An 18,598-nucleotide genomic window follows, 5' to 3' on the forward strand; every position below is an offset into this window, starting at 1 on the left:
TATGTGTGCGCCACCACACCGGCTACTTTTTGTATTTTTAGTAGAGACAGGGTTTCACCATGTTGGCCAGGCTGGTCTTGAACTCCTGACCTCAGGTGATCCGCCCACCTCGGCCTCCTAAAGTGCTTGGGATAACAGGCGTGAGCCACTGTGCCTGGTCCCTGCCCCTTTCTTCGTCCTATCTTCCTGCTCACCCACTTCACTCCCGCAGTCTCCTTGCTGCCCCTGGGAACGCACTGGGTCCATTCCTGCCTTGTGGCTCTGCTCTGCTTTCTTCTCCTGGGACACTCTTCCCCCAAATACTGGCATGTTTTCGTCCCTCACCCCCTTCAGGTCTTTGCTCAAATGCTAACTTCTCAGGGAGGCCTTCCCTGACCACCCTACTTAAAATCACATCCATGCAATATACACTCCTTATTCCCTTTCCCAGCTTCATTTTTCTCCGTCGCATTTATTGTCATCCAGCATACTATGTATCTTACTAACTCATCTTTTTATTGTCTGGTTCCTTCTACCAGAACGTGAGCTCCAAGACGATAGGAGTTTTTGTCTGTTTTGACTCTGCTCTCTCCATAAGGTCTAGAATAGTGCCTGGTGCATAGCTGGCACTCAAAAAAATAGGTGTTGGCTCCATGAATTCGCTGGGATTTTCACGGCCTTGCTGTGTGGCCCTGGGTAGTGAATCTCACCTCTCTGGGCCTCAGTCTGTTGAACTCACTGGCCTTCCAGTTTAGACATCCTGGGGCTCTGTCCCTTCATCCTGGCACTTAAGGGTTTTTGTTTATTTCTTTTGTTTTGTTTTGTTTTGTTTTGTTTCTCCCCACAATATCTGCTAAAAGGAGAACTGGCCAAGGCCTGGCTTGATATTTTTCTCCTAGGCTAGACTTTGAGCCAGGCACATGCCAGCACTCTTGTATCTGAATAAGGGGCTTTGACAAGATGCATTTGTGTGACCGAGCTTCTAAATGTGTTTGAGAACCTGGGTGAGACGGGACATTCCAGCAAAATGTCAGCATAGGCCCAAATTCTGTCTTTCTGTTTCTTTTTGTTTGCAGTGGAGCAAAAAGTAGAAATCTCCAAGGGCACCGCGGACCCTTCTCTAATGAATCAATGGAAACGCCCACTGATCTGGAGATGTAAGGGACGAGCCTGCTGGCTGTGATTCCCCACACCTGTAACAGGCTGTTTCCACTTCCTCAGGAGCCAGCTGTGAGAAACCCACAGCAGAACTGCCCACCTTCCAACAAGGGAAGCCTGCAGGAGAACTGCAGGCTTCAATGGGGATGCCAAGCCCATTTTTAGATCTCATCTGTTCTTAATGAGAAATGGGTCCAACCTTGCCCAGGTTTCTAGAACAATCCCTGACAGGGCTTTGGAGTTTATTAGCATGTTCACACGCTATCTGGCTTAATTGCCAGATGATCTCTTGTTTTCTCTTCTTTTTATGGTGCACTCCCTGGGACTAGCATAATACCTAGCATCTGGTAGGGATCACTAGATTTTTGTTGGAAGAGTTAGTTTTCATAAGTCATGAAAGACAGGCAATATTGTCATCATTTTTTTTTCTTTTGAGACAGAGTCTCGCTCTGTCGCCAGGCTGCAGTGCAGTAGCGCGATCTTAGCTCACTGCAAGCTCCGCCTCCTGGGTTCAAGCAATTCTCCTGCCTCAGCCTCCCGAGTAGCTGGAGCCACAGGTGCACGCAACCACGCCCAGCTAATTTTTGTATTTTTAGTAGAGACGGGGTTTCACCATGTTAGCCAGGATGGTTTTGATCTCCTGACCTTGTGATCCACCCGCCTTGGCCTCCCAAAGTGCTGGGATTACAGGCATGAGCCACCGTGCCCAGCCCATTTTTTTTTTAAGAGGTGGGGCCTCACTCTGTCGCCCAGGCTGGAGTGCTGTGGTGTGATCATAGCTCACTGCAGCCTTGAATTCCTGGGGTCAAGAGATCTCCCACCTCAGCCTTCCAAGTAGCTGGGACTACAGGCGTGTGCCACAGTGTTTGACTATGTCATCAATTTTTTTTTTGGGACGGAGTCTCGCTCTGTTGCCCAGGCTGGAGTGCAGTGGCGTGATCTTGGCTCACTGCAACCTCCGCCTCCCTGGTTCAAGCGATTCTCCTGCCTCAGCCTCCTGAGTAGCTGGGACTACAGGCCCAGGCCACCACGCCTCGCTAAATTTTTGTATTTTTTAGTAGAGACAGGGTTTCACCGTGTTAGCCAGGATGGTCTCGATCTCCTAACCTCGTGATCCGCCCGCCTCGGCCTCCCAGAGTGCTGGGTTTACAGGCGTGAGCCACCGGGTCGGGCTTACATGATCATTTTACAGATGATGAAACTCAGGCTCAGTAATGATATGACTTGGCCCAAGGTCACACAGCCAGGACATAAATCTATGCAGGCAGCTGGCTTGGGGTTACCAGAAAAGAAGAGAAGGAACTCCGTCCCAGTGGTGGCTACAATTTGGGAAAACAAACTTTACTTATGAATATGGGAGGACTTAAGAGAGCTTGCGCCTTTGGAATCCCAGTACTGCACTTGTGCACTTGGACAAGTTCTAAAGACAACAGGGGCCAGGCGCGGTGGCTCATGCCTGCAATCCCAACACTTTGGGAGGCCAAGGCGGGTGGATCACCTGAGGTCAGGAGTTCGAGACCAGCCTGGCCAAAATGGTGAAACATCATCTGTACTAAAAATACACAAAAATTAGCTGGGCGTGGTGGCACGTGCCTGTAATTCCATCTACTTGGGAGGCTGAGGCAGGAGAATAGCTTGAAACTGGGAGGCGGAGGTTGCAGTGACCCGACATCGCGCCATTGCACTCCAGCCTGGGCGATAAGAGCACAACTCTGTCTCAAACAAACAAACAAAAAAAAATGGGGCCTCAGTTTTTCTATCTGTAAAATGGACACACCAATGTGTGCGTCCCTCTTACACAGAGCCTGTGGGAGTTACAGTGAGAAAATGCAGTTCAATGCCTGCCACCGGGTGGTGCTCAATACACTCCCACCCCACATTGACCTTTCAGGTGATATCTGGAACCCCCCACCCCCTCTCACCGCCGACCAGCCCCACTGCTGCACCGTTGCCTGCCCTCGCAATTTTGGGGCGGGACTGGAGAGAGCCTGCTGAATAATCGCCCTGCGCATGCGCAGCCGCCATGAGTCACGTGGCCTGACGCCACCCAAGTCCTCAAGGGCGAGGCCTCAGGAACTTTCTGTCGTCAGTGGGGACCCTTGGGACAGCTTTCTTCTCACCTCGGCTGGAGCTTGGGGTCCTTGGAACACCCGAGTGTGCACTTGAAGGGCTGAGAGAGAAGGCAAAGACCTTCCAGAACCTCAAATGAGGGTTCTTTTGACCTTCGTATGTTTTCTGTTTTGAGTCAGGGTCTAGCTCTGTTGCCCAGGCTGGAGTGCAGTGGTGCAATCACAGCTCACTGCAACCTCTGCCTCCCAGGTCAAGGGATCCTCTTGCTTCAGCCTCCTGAGTAGCTGGGACCACAGGTTCGCACAATCACCCAAGCTATTTTTTTTTTTTTTTTTTTTTTTTTTGAGACCTAGTCTCATTTTGTCTCCCAGACTGGAGTGCAGTGACGCGATCCTGTCTCACTGCAACCTCCACCCTCCGGGTTCAAGCGATTCTCTTGCCTCAGCCTCCCTAGTAGCTGGGATTACAGGCGGCTGCCACCACGCCTGGCTAATTTTTGTATTTTGGTAGAGACGGGGTTTCACCGTGTTGCCCAGGCTGGTCTCGGGAACTCCTGAGCTCGGGCAATGCGCCTGCCTCGGCCTCCCAAAGTGCTGGGATTACAGGCATGAGCCAACGCGCCCGGCCCACCCAAGTTATTTTTAAAATTTTTTTGTAGAGAGGGGGTCTCACTTTGTTGCCCAAGCTGGTCTGGAATCCTGGCTTCAAGCGACCTGCCCGCTTTGGTCACCCAAAGTGTTGGGATTACAGGAGGTGCTCCCAGTCACCCTTTCCATGTTTGAGGGAGGCTTTCCCAGGCCCCTGGGACCAAAGGAAACCAACCAGGGAAATGGCTGGCCTGAGGCAGGTCAGCCCTTCTGGGCAGCCCTTCCTCATCCGTTCACCCAGGTAACAAATGAGCCCTTCCCTGGTGTTCAGCACTAAAGATACAGTGACAAGGACCCAGCTGGGGAGATAGACTTTCCCTGGGAAGTGGAAACTGAGTGGAAACTGAAGGGATGCATCCGAGTTAATCTGGGGGAGCTGGGAGAGAAAGAGGTTGCAGACGGACCAGGGACATTGAGGAGGGTAAAAGCTTTCAAGGGGGAATGAGCCTGGATGGTCTCGAGAACTGATGGGCGTGGGAACAGTGGCCTTGGGAAGAATTTTGGACTTGATCCTAAGAGCAGCAGGAAGCCACTGAAATTGGGGGATAATGTAATTTTTAGAGTCCTGCACTGAATCATTTTGCTTTTCTTTCTCATTCAGAAAAATGGATTTTGAATTCCACACCTGCCATACTAATTTTTAAAACTTTATTTTCAGAAATAGAAAAGAAGAGAACAATGGACTATGTGTTTCTTCTCAGGGTTAAATATGCTAAAAGACGCAAATTGCCTAGCATTCTATATGTGGTCTATAAATGGTAATTCCCTATCTCTCCTCTAAATTCCATTCCACAATTTGCACCATTCCAGGAGCATTGGAGGAGATCAATCCTCCCTACAGACTAAAGATAAATTTCATTTGAAGTACCTGGGTGGATGAAAAATTTGATTAGTTCAAAAGATTAAAGGGTAATTATTTTACAAATTATTATTCAAATAGTATGCTCCCCATGAGCATACAACATATTATTTGATTTATGGAATTGCAATTTACATTCAACTTTTTAGGAGCACATTTATTTATTTACTTAAAAAAAATCGTTTTGCGACAGAGTCTTGCTCTTTCATTCAGGCTGGAGTGTAGTGACATGATCATAGCTCACGCAGCTTTGATCTCCCAGGCTCAAGCAATCCTCCCACCTCGGCCTCCCTAGTAGCTGGGACCATAGGCATGCGCTACCGTGCCTGGATGATTTTTTATTTTTAGTAGAGATGAGGTCTCATTATGTTGCCTGAGCTGATCTCAAACTCCGGGCCTGAGCAATCCTCCCACCTCAGCACCCCCAAAGTGCTAGGATTATAGGTGTGAGCCACTGAGCTCGGCCTAGAAGCATATTTATTTTAGAAAACAAGACTAAGTTTCAAAAAGGCAGGGGCCACGTCCATGTTTTTCCCCCACTGTAAGATCACCACCTTGCTGGACATATAGTAGACTTTCAAATATCTGTTAGATAGATTTAAATACTGAAATATATTTTCTGCTACATTGAAAGTCAGGGGCCTCAATTCTAGGGTTTTCTCTTTATAGTTGTTAACATGAATTTTGATGGCATGAGAATGCTTGTTCTCTGAATTATATGTAGCTCATACAAACTCTACTGCACAATTATGTTGTAAAGGGGAATTAAGTTTTATCTTTAAGTTGTTATTATAGCCTTGGGAAAAGGTGAACATTGAGAATAACTACATGAAGTGGTAGCATATTGTATTGTTAATTTTGCTACTTTTCTTTTTCTTTTTTTTTTTTTGAGACAGAGACTCCCCTGTTGCCCAAGCTGGAGTACAATGGCGCAATCTTGGCTCACTGCAACCTCCGCCTCCTGGGTTCAAACAGTTCTCTTGCCTCAGCCTCCCGAGTAGCTGGGATTACAGACACCCGCTACCATGCCCAGCTAATGTTTGTATTTTTAGTAGAGACGGGGTTTCGCCATGTTGGCCAGGCTGGTCTCGAGTTCCTGACCTCGTGATCCGCCTGCCTCGGCTTCCCAAAGTGCTGGGATTACAGACATGAGCCACTGCACCCAGCCCTACTTTTTCTTTTTAACGTGGTGTAGGGCCTAGAATAGACTGTCACGTGTGAAAGGTATGTCAGGCAGGGTCTGTATAAGAAACAGATGGCGCATTCAAATTAGATCATTAGAAGAATATTTAATAAATGGGCTATTTACAAGGTTGAAGCAGAAAGTGGGGAAGCTATAAGGGATAGTGCAGTAGCCATGGGGCCTTTACCACTCTTAGATCTGAAGGTTGAGGGGAGGGAGAAATGACAGAACCCAGAGAGAGTTGTGTAGAGCAGGCTGCCTTGAGAAAGAGGGGTGACCTTTTATCAAAAGGCACAACCAACCTAAGGCCATCTGGCAGGAGGGAAGTGGGGAAAGAAACACTTCACCCATGCTGTCCTCCTGCCCTCCCATCTCCTGCTGCCGCTCCCATTGGCTGTACCCGCCTGGAAGCTAGAGGGCAGGAGAGTGAGCTGCTGCAGTCCATGTAGGTCAGCCCGCCAGGGCCAAGGGCAGCACGGAGAAGGGTGGAAGAGTGGATCTGGAGGGCAAATGGAAACTATCTGGTACAGGAGACTTCATTTGCATCCTGGATAAAGACTTGATATTTAAATCCTGGTATCTTAGGGAGGCTGTGAAACCTTAAGGGATGGAACTATGGCAGCAGGTTCAGGGTTCTCATTTGTTCATTCCTCAGATCTCCTGAGGATACTAGAAAAAGTATTGTGCTGGGCATTTGAGAGAAGCCCAGCAATGGCAAAGCACTCTGAGAAATCAATGCATTTTCCTTCCTGATGCATATATATATATATTTTTTTTTTCTGATGCTATATTTTTAAGAACACACCCCTCCTCTATCAAGAGCACTTGTTTAGAGCTCTGAATAGTGAATACAATCCCACTGGTCTCAGAACGAGACACTGCTTCCCCAGAAGCAAGAAAGTTCAGGCAAAACTCACAGGTTCTGATTTTTTATTTTTATTTTTTTGAGACAGCGTCTCACTCTGTCCCCCAGGCTGGAGTGCGGTGGTGTGATCTTGGCTCACTGCAACCTCTGCCTCTTGGGCTCAAGTGATTCTCAGGCGTTGGCCTCCCAAGTAGCTGGGGTTACAGGTGTGTGCCACCACGCCCAGGTAATTTTTGTATTTTTAGTAGAGACGAGGTTTCACCGTGTTGGCCAGGCTGTCTTGAACTTCCGACCTCACATGATCCACCCACCTCGGCCTCCCAAAGTGCTGGGATTACCAGCATAAGCCATGACGCCTGGCCTCCGGCTCTGAATCTTATGGCTAGCAGCTGACAATTATGTTCCTCACCAGGTCAGTACCCTTTAGGTTGTAGCTGGATGGACATTTTTTCAGGCCCGGGGACCAGAATAGAATGTGTGAGTGTGACTCTGGAAAGTGGACTTGCTCTTATGAATGGAGTGGATTGTGGTCTCACATTTTCTGAATCTGTGAAATCATTCCACTCTTTAATGAGGTCCTCTTAGAAGGGGAGGGAATAGATCTCCTTTAGTGACATGACTTTGACAAGCAAATCAATTCATTCCATTTGTTTCCTCTTTGAAAACAGCAATCCTCGAGCGTTACATAATCTAATCTTCATGCCTCACTGGTTTGTTCTGTCCTCCTGAGGAATTGGCAGATGGTGCCAATGCGGAGACCCGCACACACGCCTCGCAAGCCTCATGGTAACAGGAGAGTTGCTCACAGTGTCTGTCTCTTTGCTGTGGGGTCCCTCGCTGGCATTTGTTTCCCTGGATCGGTTGGCTCTTTAGCATCCCTCAGGCACCGCTGGCTTCTTGCCCTCGGCTCTCATTCCAAGATTAATTGGAAATGCTGAAAGCAGATAAAAAGAGAACAGAAAGTGAAGTTGAAAGGGCAGAGAATTTTCTGGATTTTTTTCTAAAAGCCCTCCTCCGTTAAAGGCCGAGCATCTTTGGAGATTTTTAGCTTCAGAATGGTGACTCCCTCCTTCAGCCTGGTCCCTGTGTACATCTTTGTTGCTGGGTTACACACAGCATAGGGACAGGGCTGGCTGTGTCAGAGCTGGGAGAGTAGAGATCTGCTTGATAAGGTCTCTGAATTTCTCCAACAGCGAGTCACATATCTTCAGAAATGATTGTTCCCCAGATAGGGCAGTTACCTGGAGTCCACCTTCAGGTCGGTGATGTCACTTACGAAGGGAAAATTATCTCAGAACTCTGTAAGGTGAGGAGCCTCCTGGCAAGGAGGCCCTGTCAGCCAGAACCACAATGCTGAGATGTCCTAGTAAAGGTACTGCCTATACATCTTGTTTAAAAATCTGGAAGTGGCAGCATCCAAAGGAAAGGAGTGGTGGGCAGAGTTCTAATATTTAGGACTGGAAAGTGGCTGATGTGCTCTGGTATTGCTTTTCAATTGTTAAAATATTGAAATACTTCCATACTACTGGGTAAAGAGTTGGATCTTTGAATTCCCCATGCTCCCGTCCCTCTGCTAATACTTAAAGTCTGTTGAGAGGGTCTTATTTTATTCAATTTCATGAGGAGCTCTACCTGTCCATGCAGCAATGGGAGCTTCCTTTGCTGAACCCAGTTTGCTTTCACCGTGCAGTACCAGTAGGTCTTCTTGGTGCAGGGCCAGGCACCACTCCCAGTGCCACAGATGTAACCGCACTGCTCACGGACTGCACTGTTGGCTGACTGCTTTTGGATGGAACCTCCAGGCAATTAAAACATAGAACCCTCCTGCATGTGGCAAAAACATGCCTGGTCCTTAAAGGTCACATACACCTTTATGCTTGCTGTCACTCAGGATCCAGGTTGTATTTGCACGCAGCAGAAATGAGCTGTCTGAAGGAGAACCAGAGCCCCTGCAGCATCTTCTTTTATGGCCACCCTCCCCCATGCACTAGGTCCAGGCATAGAGGACTCATTTCTATAAAAGCAATAATGGGCAGGTGTGGTGGCTCACACCTGTAATCCCAGCACTTTGGGAGGCCTAGGTGGGTGGATCACCTGAGGTCAGGAGTTCGAGACCAGCCTGGTCAACATGGCAAAACCCCGTCTCTACTATAAATATAAAAATTAGCCAGCTGTGGTGGTGCACGCCTGTGATCCCAGCTACTTGGGAGGCTGAGGCAGGAGAATTGCTTGAACCTGGGAGGCAGAGGTTGCAGTCAGCCGAGATTGTACCACTGCACTCCAGCCTGGGTGACAGAGCAAGACTCCATCACAAAACAAACAAACAAACAAAAAGCAATAATGGTTTTCTTTTTAAAAATTTGTTATTCATTCACTAAATAATATCATGTGAGCACCTATCATGCTATTATGTTTTGGTCACTGTGCTAAGTGCAGGATGTGTATAAATCGAGCTTGTCTCTGCGTTCATGGAACATATAGTTTAATGGGATGTGGGAAGACAGACCATAAAGGAGGCCACGGTGGCTGGAATGTGGTGGGGTCACCTGAACATGGGTTGCATTTCGCCTCATGGAAACTGCATAGATGTCATGGGTGGCTTCTGGTGTGTGGTCAACTTATCGAATGTATCTACCCTGTTAGAGCACTGGGGTGCATGGCACCAGTATTAAAGGTGCAAAGCATAGGGGGTGACCACTTCCTGCATCCATTGAGGATCTCCGAGAGGTTGGGAACTGCTCTGGATTAGGCAAAGATAGGGGGGAATATTCTGAATGAGGAATGATGGAGATGATAGGTTCTAACATTTGGAGGTCAGGCGTGCTATTTATTTATGTATTTATGTATTTATTTATTTATTTATGACAGAGTCACGCTCTATCGCCGAGGCTGGAATGCCGTGACAGGATATCAGCTCACTGCAACCTCTGCCTCCCGGGTTCAAGCGGTTCTTGTGCCTCAGCCTCCCGAGTAGCTGGGATTAGAGGCTCCTGCCACCACGTGTGGCAAATTTTTGTATTTTTAGTAGACATAGGTTTCACCATGTTGGTCAGGCTGGTCTCAAACTCCTGACCTCAAGTGATCCACCCACCTTGGCCTCCCAAAGTGCTGGGATTACAGGCATGAGCCACTGTGCCTGGCCAAGTGTGCTGCTGGAGTGCAATGGCGTGATCTTGGCTCTTAGCAACCTCCACCTCCTGGGTTCAAACAATTCTCCTCCCTCAGCTTCCTGAGTAGCTGGGATTACAGGCATGCGCCACCATGCCCGGCTAATTTTGTATTTTTAGCAGAGATGGGGTTTCTCCATGTTGGTCAGGCTGGTCCCGAACTCCCGATCTCAGGTGATCCGCCCGCCTCAGCATCCCAAAGTGCTGGGATTACAGGCGTGAGCCTCCATGCCCGGCCCCAAGTGTACTGTTTTTAAAAGACGGTAACTTCTGACCCATCAGTCATCTGTAAGGGACAGGATTTCCTTCATCAATGCTTATTCCCTCCTTTGCCTCAGTAACCAAGTGAGTTCAGTCACCAAAATCATAATTCATGCCCCTAAGAAGGTCCAGTCGACCATTGTACTTGTCAGTATTAATTATTTTTGCTCTATCTGTCCCGATGGTTTGATTTTTCTTTTTATTGAGTTATTATTTATATGCAGTGAGATGTACAGTCTTGAGTGTATAGTTCAGTTTTGACCCATACATGTATTCTTGCAACCCATACACCTTTTCATTTTTATGTTAAAAATGGAGGCCGGGTACAGTAGCTCATGACTGTAATCCCTGCACTTTGGGAGGCCGAGGTAGGAGGATCTTTTAAGCTAAGGAATTTGAGACCAGCCTGGGCAACTGAGCGAGACCTCATCTCTACCACAAATAAAAAAAAAAATTAGGCCAGGCGCGGTGGCTCATGCCTGTAATCCCAGCACTTTGGGAGGCCAAGACAGGCAGATAATGAGGTCAAGAGATCCAGACCATCCTGGCCAACATGGTGAAACCCTGTCTCTACTAAAAATACAAAAATTAGTTGGGCATGGTGGCATGTGCCTGTAGTCCCAGCTACTTGGGAGGCTGAGGCAGGAGAATCGCTTGAACCCAGGAGGCAGAGGTTGCAGTGAGCCGAGATCGAGCCACCACATTCCAGCCTGGCAACAGAGTGAGACTCTGTCTCAAAAAAAAAAAAAAAAAAAAAAATTAGGTCCAGTCAACCGTTGTACTTGTCAGTATTAATTATTTTTGCTCTATCTGTCCTGATGGTTTGATTTTTCTTTTTATTGAATTATTATTTATACACAGTAAGATGTACAGTCTTAAGTGTACAGTTCAGTTTTGATCCAGGCTTTTTTTTTTTTTTTTTGAGACTGAGTCTTGCTGTGTCACCCAGACTGGAGTGCAATGACACAATCTCCACTCACTGCAACCTCTGCCTCCTGGGTTCAAGTGATTCTCCTGACTCAGCCTCCCAAGTAGCTGGGACTATAGGCATGTGCCACCACACCCAGCTAATTTTTGTATTTTTAGTAGAGCCAGGATTTCACCATGTTGGCCAGGCTGGTCTCGAACTCCTGACTCAAGTGATCCACCCGCCTTGGCCTCCCAAAGTGCTGGGATTACAGGCATGGGCTGCTGCGCCTAGTCCCAGGCATAAATTCTTGTAACCCATAAAAACCCTTTTCATTTTTATTTTAAAAATCTTGGAGGCTGGACGTGGTGGCTCACACCTGTTATCCCAGCACTTTGGGAGGCTGAGGTGGGAGGACTGCTTGAGCTGAGGAGTTTGAGACCAACCTGGGCAACTGAGTGAGACTTCATCTCTACTACAAATAAAAAAATTAGGTGGGCATGCTGGCATGTACCTATAGTCCCAGCTGCTTGGGAGGCTGAGGTGGGAGGAATGCTTGAGCCTGGGAGGTCAAGTCTCCAGTGAGCTATGATGGCACCACTGAACTCCAGCCTGGGCAACTGAGTGAGACTTTGTCTTGAAAAATAAAAATCTTGACATCCTCTCAAGTGATGAACATTTGGGTCCAAGGGCAGATTACTGGAAAAGAATCCTCTATGTAGTCCACTGACCCATTACCCCCACCCTCTAAAATCTCATCCAATCCTTTCCTGAGTTTCCCAATCACACAGAGGACTTAAAACTCTAAGAACATTTTGTAATCCCAGCTTTCTGAAACATAACAGAGATATTGTCATCTGAAAACAAGGGGAGATTAAGTGCAAAATTTGATTCTGACAATAGCAGAAAGGAACAAGTTAGACAAAGAACGTCACAGAGAATGAATTCAAGCACCACCGTGTAAATGCTCCACAACCTTTTTCAAGACTCTAAACATGACATACAGTCTTGGTGAGGAAACAACAATGTTTAAAGGAGTTTGCTACAGGGACATGGCATCATCAAACTGCGATCTGTTAAATGAGAGATCCAGGTACACTTTAGGAGTTTTGCTCTTACTCTTTCTGGATGGATTCTCTTAGAAATGAGGCATAAAGACAGCTAAACACACTGTTCTCTCTGCACTGATGCAGTCCTCCCAAACCCACCTTTTCTGTTTCACTGCCCTTGTATGCTGAGATGCCTTTCCAGTGCTGCAAAACAGCTCTTTTTCTGCCTAGTTTTCACCAATGATTATACAGTCAAATAATATAACAACAGGTAATTATTTAATAATTACAATTTGTGTAACACCTAAAGGCAAATGAGAGGCTTTATGTGAAAGAGCTTTTTTTTTTTTTTTTTTGAGCTGGAGTTTCACACTGTCGCCCTGGCTGGAGTGCAATGGCACGATTTTGGCTCACTGCAACCTCCGCCTCCCAGGTTCAAGCGATTTTCCTGCCTCAGCCTCCGGAGTAGCTGGGATTACAGGCACCCGCCACCACACCCGGCTAATTTTTGTAGTTTTAGTAGAGACAGGATTTCACCATGTTTGCCAGGCTGGTCCCGAACTCCTGACCTCAGGTGATCCTCCCGCCTTGGCATCCTAAAGTGCTGGGATTACAGGCTCGAGCCACCGTGCCTGGCCGTGAAAGTGCTTTTAAAGCTGTAAAGGTATATACAATCCAAAAAGATTCTTTTAAAATCGTTTTTACATGGCAGGATACTTTGAAGCAACTGGATTTCCGCTGTATCTCACAATCAGTGAGGCAAGCCATTCTCATTTTCCACATTCAGGATTTTCCATGTCTTAGTGATGGCATTTCTGGAATATTCCTGGATCTGACCCAGCCTCTGAAATTAGTCCTCATGTTCTCCCCACCAGACTTAAAGTCCATGAAGAAAGGTATAATATTCACTTGTTAACTATTCTATTCCTGAGGCCTAGTCCTTGGTGGGCATTCAGTAATGTCTGTTAAGCGAATGAACCTCATTGGTCTTGCCTTCAGTCTCCTTCCAGCCCACCTGACAATGTATTTTTTGCATTGCATTTTTGAAGCATCATTTCAAAAACACAGTTCTGGGCCGGGCGCGGTGGCTCACGCCTGTCATCCCAGCACTTTGGGAGGCCAAGGTGGGTGGATCACTTGAGGTCAGGAGTTTTGAGACCAGCCTGGCCAACCTGGTGAAAAACTGTCTCTACTAAAAATACAAAAGAAAAATTAGCTGGGCATGGTGGCGGGCACCTATAATCCCAGCTACTCGGGAGGCTGAGGCAGGAGAATTGCTTGAACCTGGGAGGCGGAGGTTGGACCACTTCACTCCAGCCTAGGTGACAGAGTGAGACTCCATCTCAAAAACAAAAAGCAAAAACCAAAAAAAACCACAGTTCTGCTTGCATTTTGCATTGCATTTTGAAGCATCATTTCAAAAACACAGTTCTGCTTGCATCCTACACAAGCTCACAAAACCTTCAAGCATTCTCCATTGCCAATAAAATAAAGTACAAACTGCTGAATGTCACACTCAAGATCTTTCATGGTCTAGTTCCAAACCACCCTTCTAGGCCCATTTCCCAGCCCTCATTTTCCCTCCCCCTTCAATCGCCAAATGATTCCCAAGCACGCCATGCAGGTTCACACTCCCAACCCTGACTTAATCTATGTCCCCTGCCTGGCATGACCTTCCTTTGGCCCTCCTTATTCATCTGATGGAATTTCACTTATTCTTCAAAAAGCAGCTCAAATGTGACATCCTCTAATGCTTTCTCTAGCTCCCCTTAGGGTTCTCCCATATAACTTAGCTCATAATCCCCTTATTACACGTTTCCCATTATAGTTTAGTTGGTTTTCTCCCCTGACCCTCTGCCTTTTTTTTTTTTTGAGACAGGGTTTGGCTCTTTTGCCCAGGCTGGAGTGCAGTGGTGGGATCTTAGCTCACTGCAGTCTCTGGCTCCAGGGCCCAAGCCATCTTCCCACCTGAGACTCCCAAGTAGCTGGGACTACAGGTTCATGCCAGCAAGCCCGGCTAATTTTTGTATATATTTCTTTGGTAGAGATGAGGTTGCACCATGTTGCCTAGGCTAGTCTTGAACTCTTAACATCAGGCGATTCCTCCTGCCTTGGCCTCCCAAAGTGCTGGGGTTACAGGCATGAGCCATTGTACCTGGCCCCAGTGGTGCTTTAATAATGTCAACTATCATATGCCACCCACTGCTGCAAACCCACCAGTGGCTTCCCTTCACACTTAGAGGAAACCCAAAGCCTTGACATTTTTGGCCCCTGCTTTCCTGCTTTCCTCTCCAGTTTCTGTTTTTTTTTTTTTTTTTTTTTTTGAGACGGAGTTTCGCTCTGTCACCCAGGCTGCTGGAGTGCAGTGGCGCGATCTCGGCTCACTGCAAGCTCTGCCCCCTGGGTTCACGCCATTCTCCTGCCTCAGCCTCCCGAGTATCTGGGACTACAGGTGCCCGCCACAACGCCCGGCTAATTTTTTTTTTTTTTTGTATATTTAGTGGAGACGGGGTTTCACCGTGTTAGCCGGGATGGTCTCGATCTCCTGACCTCGTGATCCACCCGCCTAGGCCTCCCAAAGTGCTGGGATTACAGGCTTGAGCCACCATGCCCGGCCTCCTCTCCAGTTTCATCTCTCCTACTTTCCCCCTCGCTCACTCCAGCCTCCTTTATCTCCGCTTCTCCTGGAACATGCCAAGCTATTCCCTCCTCAGGGCTTTTGAACAGCCTCCCTCTGCCAGGGAAGCTCTTCTCCCAGATATATACATGACTTCCTCCTTTACTTCATTTGAGTTTCTACTCAGATATTCCCTCTGCAGAGAGGCCTTCCCTAATCGCTCTCTAAAAGAGCACCCTAAGTTGGGCACAGTGGTTCATGCCTGTAATCCCAGCATTTTAGGAGGCCGAGGTGGGAAGATTGCTTGATGTCAGGAGTTTAAGACCAACCTGGCCAACATAGCAAGACCCTGTCTCTATGTAAAAATATTAAATAAATAAATAAAATAGCACCGCCCGTTAAACCCTAGTCTCTTACCTGCTTTATTTCTCCCCATGGCAGAAACACCACCAGTTTGTCACCATTACTTTTCCATGCGTTTATGTATTTGTTTATTTGTTGCTGAGGATAGAGACCATTTTGTTTGCTATCATATCCCTGGTACCTAGAACACTGCCTGGCAGATAACAGGCACTCAATTATTTGTTGAATGAATGGATCAATCTTTGTATCCAAGATGACTACTGCAGTGCCTGGTTGGATACATATTTGTCAAATAAGTGACCAAATTAATACACTTTACAAATGAAATGGAATCCTGGCATACATCCAGGATTATCTGGGATATGAGTGAAGGTGTTTCATCCATTTGCTTCATGGACATAATTTTTATTTATTTACTCTAGTAATCATAGGTAACATAATCAGATTCTTCAGTTTTTCAAAAACTAGTTGGTGACCGAGGTCTTGCCCAAAAATATTTAGGGCATTTCAGAAAGGTTACCAACAGTGGCACAGCAGGGATTTAGAATACCCAGCAGTCCTCTGCCTCTCATTGGCTCCTGAGGGTTTCTGATAAGGTTCTTTATCTCCTGTGATTTATATTGAATGTGCCTTTGTTTTTAATCCTGCCAAACACTGATTATTCTGAGGGCTGGAGCAGGTAAGACATTGACTGACCTCGAACTCAAAGGGTGGACTCATTACACCCTGCATATCCCAGAGGACCCTGCAATGAGCCTTCAGGGCTGCAACGCCCCAGGCTGCTTCAGGATTTGGGCTTTAGGAACCTGAGTGGCTTTGATATGGCAATTCAGTCCCTTAAGGGTAGCTGATCTGGGGAACAATTTGCCACACTTTCCTAGTTTACTTTAGCCTCTGGGCAGTTGCTTTCCCAGCCCATCCATTTTCCTTAATTCCTTGCCTATGGATAAGTAAAAGAGGCACACAGGGCCCAGCGCGGTGGCTCACGCCTGTAATCCCAGCATTTTGGGAGGCCAAGGCGGGCAGATCATGAGGTCAGGAGATCGAGACCATCCTGGCTAACATGGTGAGACCCCATCTCTACTAAAAATACAAAAAATTAGCTGGGTGTGGTGGCGGGTGCCTGTAATCCCAGCTACTCGGGAGGCTGAGGCAGGAGAATCGCTTGAACCTGGGGGGCAGAGGTTGCAGTGAGCCGAGATCGTGCCACTGCACTCCAGCCTGGTGACAGAGCAACACTCTGTAAAGAAGCAGACAGTGCAGAGAAGGATGAACTCTTGGCATGAGTGAAGTGTAATATCGGCAATCTGTTTGTGTACCCTTCTTTTTTTTTTTTTTTTTTTTTTTTTTTGAGACAGGGTCTCACTCTGTTGCCCAGGCTGGAGTGTAGTGACCCAATCTCGGCTCACTGCAACTTTCACTTCCCGGGTTCAAGTTATTCTCATGCCTACAAGTGGCTGGGATTACAGGCGCCCACCACCACGCCTGGCTAATTTTTGTATTTTTAGTAGAGACAGGGTTTCACCATGTTGGCCAGGCTGGTCTCGAACTCCTGACCTCAAGTGATCCGCCGGTCTTGGCCTCCCAAAGTGCTGGGATTACAGGTGCGAGCCACTGTGCCCGGCCTCGTGTATCCTTTTAATGAGGCCGAGCGGTGACAAGACTGTGGATGGCATTGGGGCCAGGGACCAGAACAGGGAGAGCCTGGGAGGAACCCCTCCAGCCCCCCGCAAAGCTCAAGCACCGGATACTAAAGAAGAATGGTAGATGGGGCCTCACGATGTGCAGGGGGAAGGGAACTGGCTTAACTGGATGGTCCCCTGTCCGAGCACTGGGCTAGGCCTTTTGTGTGCATAGTATCGTCTGCTGTTACCAAGAAATTAGTTATGCTTATCATCTGCATTTTACAGAAGAGGAGAACAAGGCTCAGAGAGGTTGATGACACCTGCCCAAGTTACCCAGATGGTAGGTGGCAGAGCTGGGATTTGAGATTCAGATAAGGCCTGGGACGCTCCCTGGCTGCCCACCGAGAGCAGGAATTTCTGTAGCATCTAGAAAGGCAGGAAGGTGAAAGAGGGGACAAGAGCTGGAGGGGGAGCAAATGGGTCCTACCTGAGACTTACCATCATCAGGTGCTGCCAGACCTGGCTTCTCTTCTATTCTGAGAACTGATATCCTGTGGCTGACTTACCAGGGTCGTCCTAGTCCCCCCGCACGGTATTGGGAGTGGAGGCAGCCCCACACGGAGGCGCTGGGAGACTTTCCTCCCAGCAGTGTCCTGTCACTGCATTCCGGCCCCTGCGTTTGTAGGCAGTGATGTCACAGAGTGCCTTCATGCTCCTCGGGTCTCCGGTTCTCCCCGGACCTCTGTAGTCCTCATTGCCAAAGTTGTACCCCCTGGGGAGTGCACCCTGCCTGCATTTCTGGAGGTTCGGGCGGTTCCGGGGCTCTGCAGGAGCCTCCAGGCGTGATAAAGAGCGCTGCCGGCACTCCCGGGGTCTCGGCCTCTTTGGGGCCCATTGCCAAGCCCCTTCCCTCCTCGTGCTCCCGCTCCGCGTTGCAGCGTCCCCTTCGCCGCCAGGGGCCGCCCGGAAGCGGGGCTCCCCCAGGGCGGGGCGGGGCAAGGGGCGGGGCGCGGCGGTACCTGGGCCGCCAGGGAGCCGGGGGTGGGCTCTCCGGGGACAGCCGGCAGCGCCCCCAGATCTGCACCGCCAGCCGCCGGGAGCTCCGGGCTCCGGGCGTAGAGGCTGCGCTGTCACATGGGCGGCGGCGACGGGGCCGCATTTAAGCGGCCGGGGGACGGCGCCCGCCTCCAGCGCGTCCTCGGGCTTGGCTCCCGCCGGGAGCCCCGTTCTCTGCCCGCCGGGGGCCCCGCGCCGCGCCGCACCGCGCCGCCCCCGCCGGGCCATGCGAGCGCGGGCCCCGCCGCGATGAGCTCGCACATCGCCAAAAGCGAGTCCAAGACGTCGCTGCTGAAGGCGGCGGCGGCGGCGGCGAGCGGGGGCAGCCGGGCTCCCCGCCACGGCCCTGCCCGGGACCCGGGGCTGCCTAGCCGCCGGCTACCCGGCTCCTGCCCGGCGACGCCGCAGTCGTCCGGGGACCCCAGTTCGCGGAGGCCCCTGTGCCGGCCGGCGCCGCGAGAGGAGGGCGCGCGGGGGAGCCAGCGTGTGCTCCCCCAGGCGCACTGCAGGCCCCGGGAGGCGCTGCCGGCCGCGGCGTCCCGACCTTCGCCGTCGTCGCCGCTGCCGCCGGCCCGCGGGCGGGATGGGGAGGAACGGGGACTGTCCCCGGCGCTCGGCCTCCGGGGCTCTCTGCGAGCCCGGGGCCGCGGGGACTCCGTTCCAGCCGCCGCGTCCGAGGCGGACCCGTTCCTCCACCGGCTGCGCCCCATGCTCAGCTCCGCCTTTGGCCAGGTAAGGGCCGCGCCTCCCGTCAGCGCTCCCGGGAAAGGCGCTCGGGACCCTGCCGGCCGC

General features: G+C 49.5%; 1 protein-coding gene and 1 long non-coding RNA gene across 3 annotated transcripts in view, besides 4 other annotated features; one reads left to right on the forward strand and one right to left on the reverse strand.

Annotated features, from left to right (window-relative positions):
• Nucleotides 1-6,809: 6,809 nt before the first annotated feature.
• Nucleotides 6,810-17,721, reverse strand: CABP1-DT (CABP1 divergent transcript). The gene is made up of 2 exons (NR_183426.1): nt 17,249-17,721; nt 6,810-7,695 (listed from the first exon to the last, which is right to left on the reverse strand). It is a non-coding gene; the product is annotated as a CABP1 divergent transcript (long non-coding RNA).
• Nucleotides 15,712-16,213: an enhancer, noted in NCBI's record as "NANOG hESC enhancer chr12:121076316-121076817 (GRCh37/hg19 assembly coordinates)". NCBI's record gives its function as "activates a minimal SCP1, AML or CMV promoter by ChIP-STARR-seq in naive H9 embryonic stem cells {active_cell/tissue: H9 hESC(naive)}" and the evidence as "EXISTENCE:reporter gene assay evidence [ECO:0000049][PMID:30033119]".
• Nucleotides 17,685-17,984: a silencer, noted in NCBI's record as "silent region_4957". NCBI's record gives its function as "represses an Ori minimal core promoter by ATAC-STARR-seq in GM12878 lymphoblastoid cells {active_cell/tissue: GM12878}" and the evidence as "EXISTENCE:reporter gene assay evidence [ECO:0000049][PMID:35858748]".
• The window catches only part of CABP1 (calcium binding protein 1), a 40,241-nt gene continuing 39,467 nt past the window's right edge, over nt 17,825-18,598 (forward strand). For both annotated transcript variants that reach the window (XM_017020235.2, NM_001033677.2), the window contains exon 1: nt 17,825-18,538. In XM_017020235.2, coding sequence (XP_016875724.1) covers nt 17,885-18,538 — 654 coding nt within the window. In that variant the 5' untranslated portion in view covers nt 17,825-17,884. The remainder of the gene's footprint in view (nt 18,539-18,598) is intronic.
• Nucleotides 18,205-18,304: a silencer, noted in NCBI's record as "silent region_4958". NCBI's record gives its function as "represses an Ori minimal core promoter by ATAC-STARR-seq in GM12878 lymphoblastoid cells {active_cell/tissue: GM12878}" and the evidence as "EXISTENCE:reporter gene assay evidence [ECO:0000049][PMID:35858748]".
• Nucleotides 18,315-18,484: a silencer, noted in NCBI's record as "silent region_4959". NCBI's record gives its function as "represses an Ori minimal core promoter by ATAC-STARR-seq in GM12878 lymphoblastoid cells {active_cell/tissue: GM12878}" and the evidence as "EXISTENCE:reporter gene assay evidence [ECO:0000049][PMID:35858748]".

This window comes from Homo sapiens, chromosome 12, assembly GCF_000001405.40.
Source record: "Homo sapiens chromosome 12, GRCh38.p14 Primary Assembly".
Classification (NCBI taxonomy): Eukaryota; Metazoa; Chordata; class Mammalia; order Primates; family Hominidae; genus Homo; species Homo sapiens.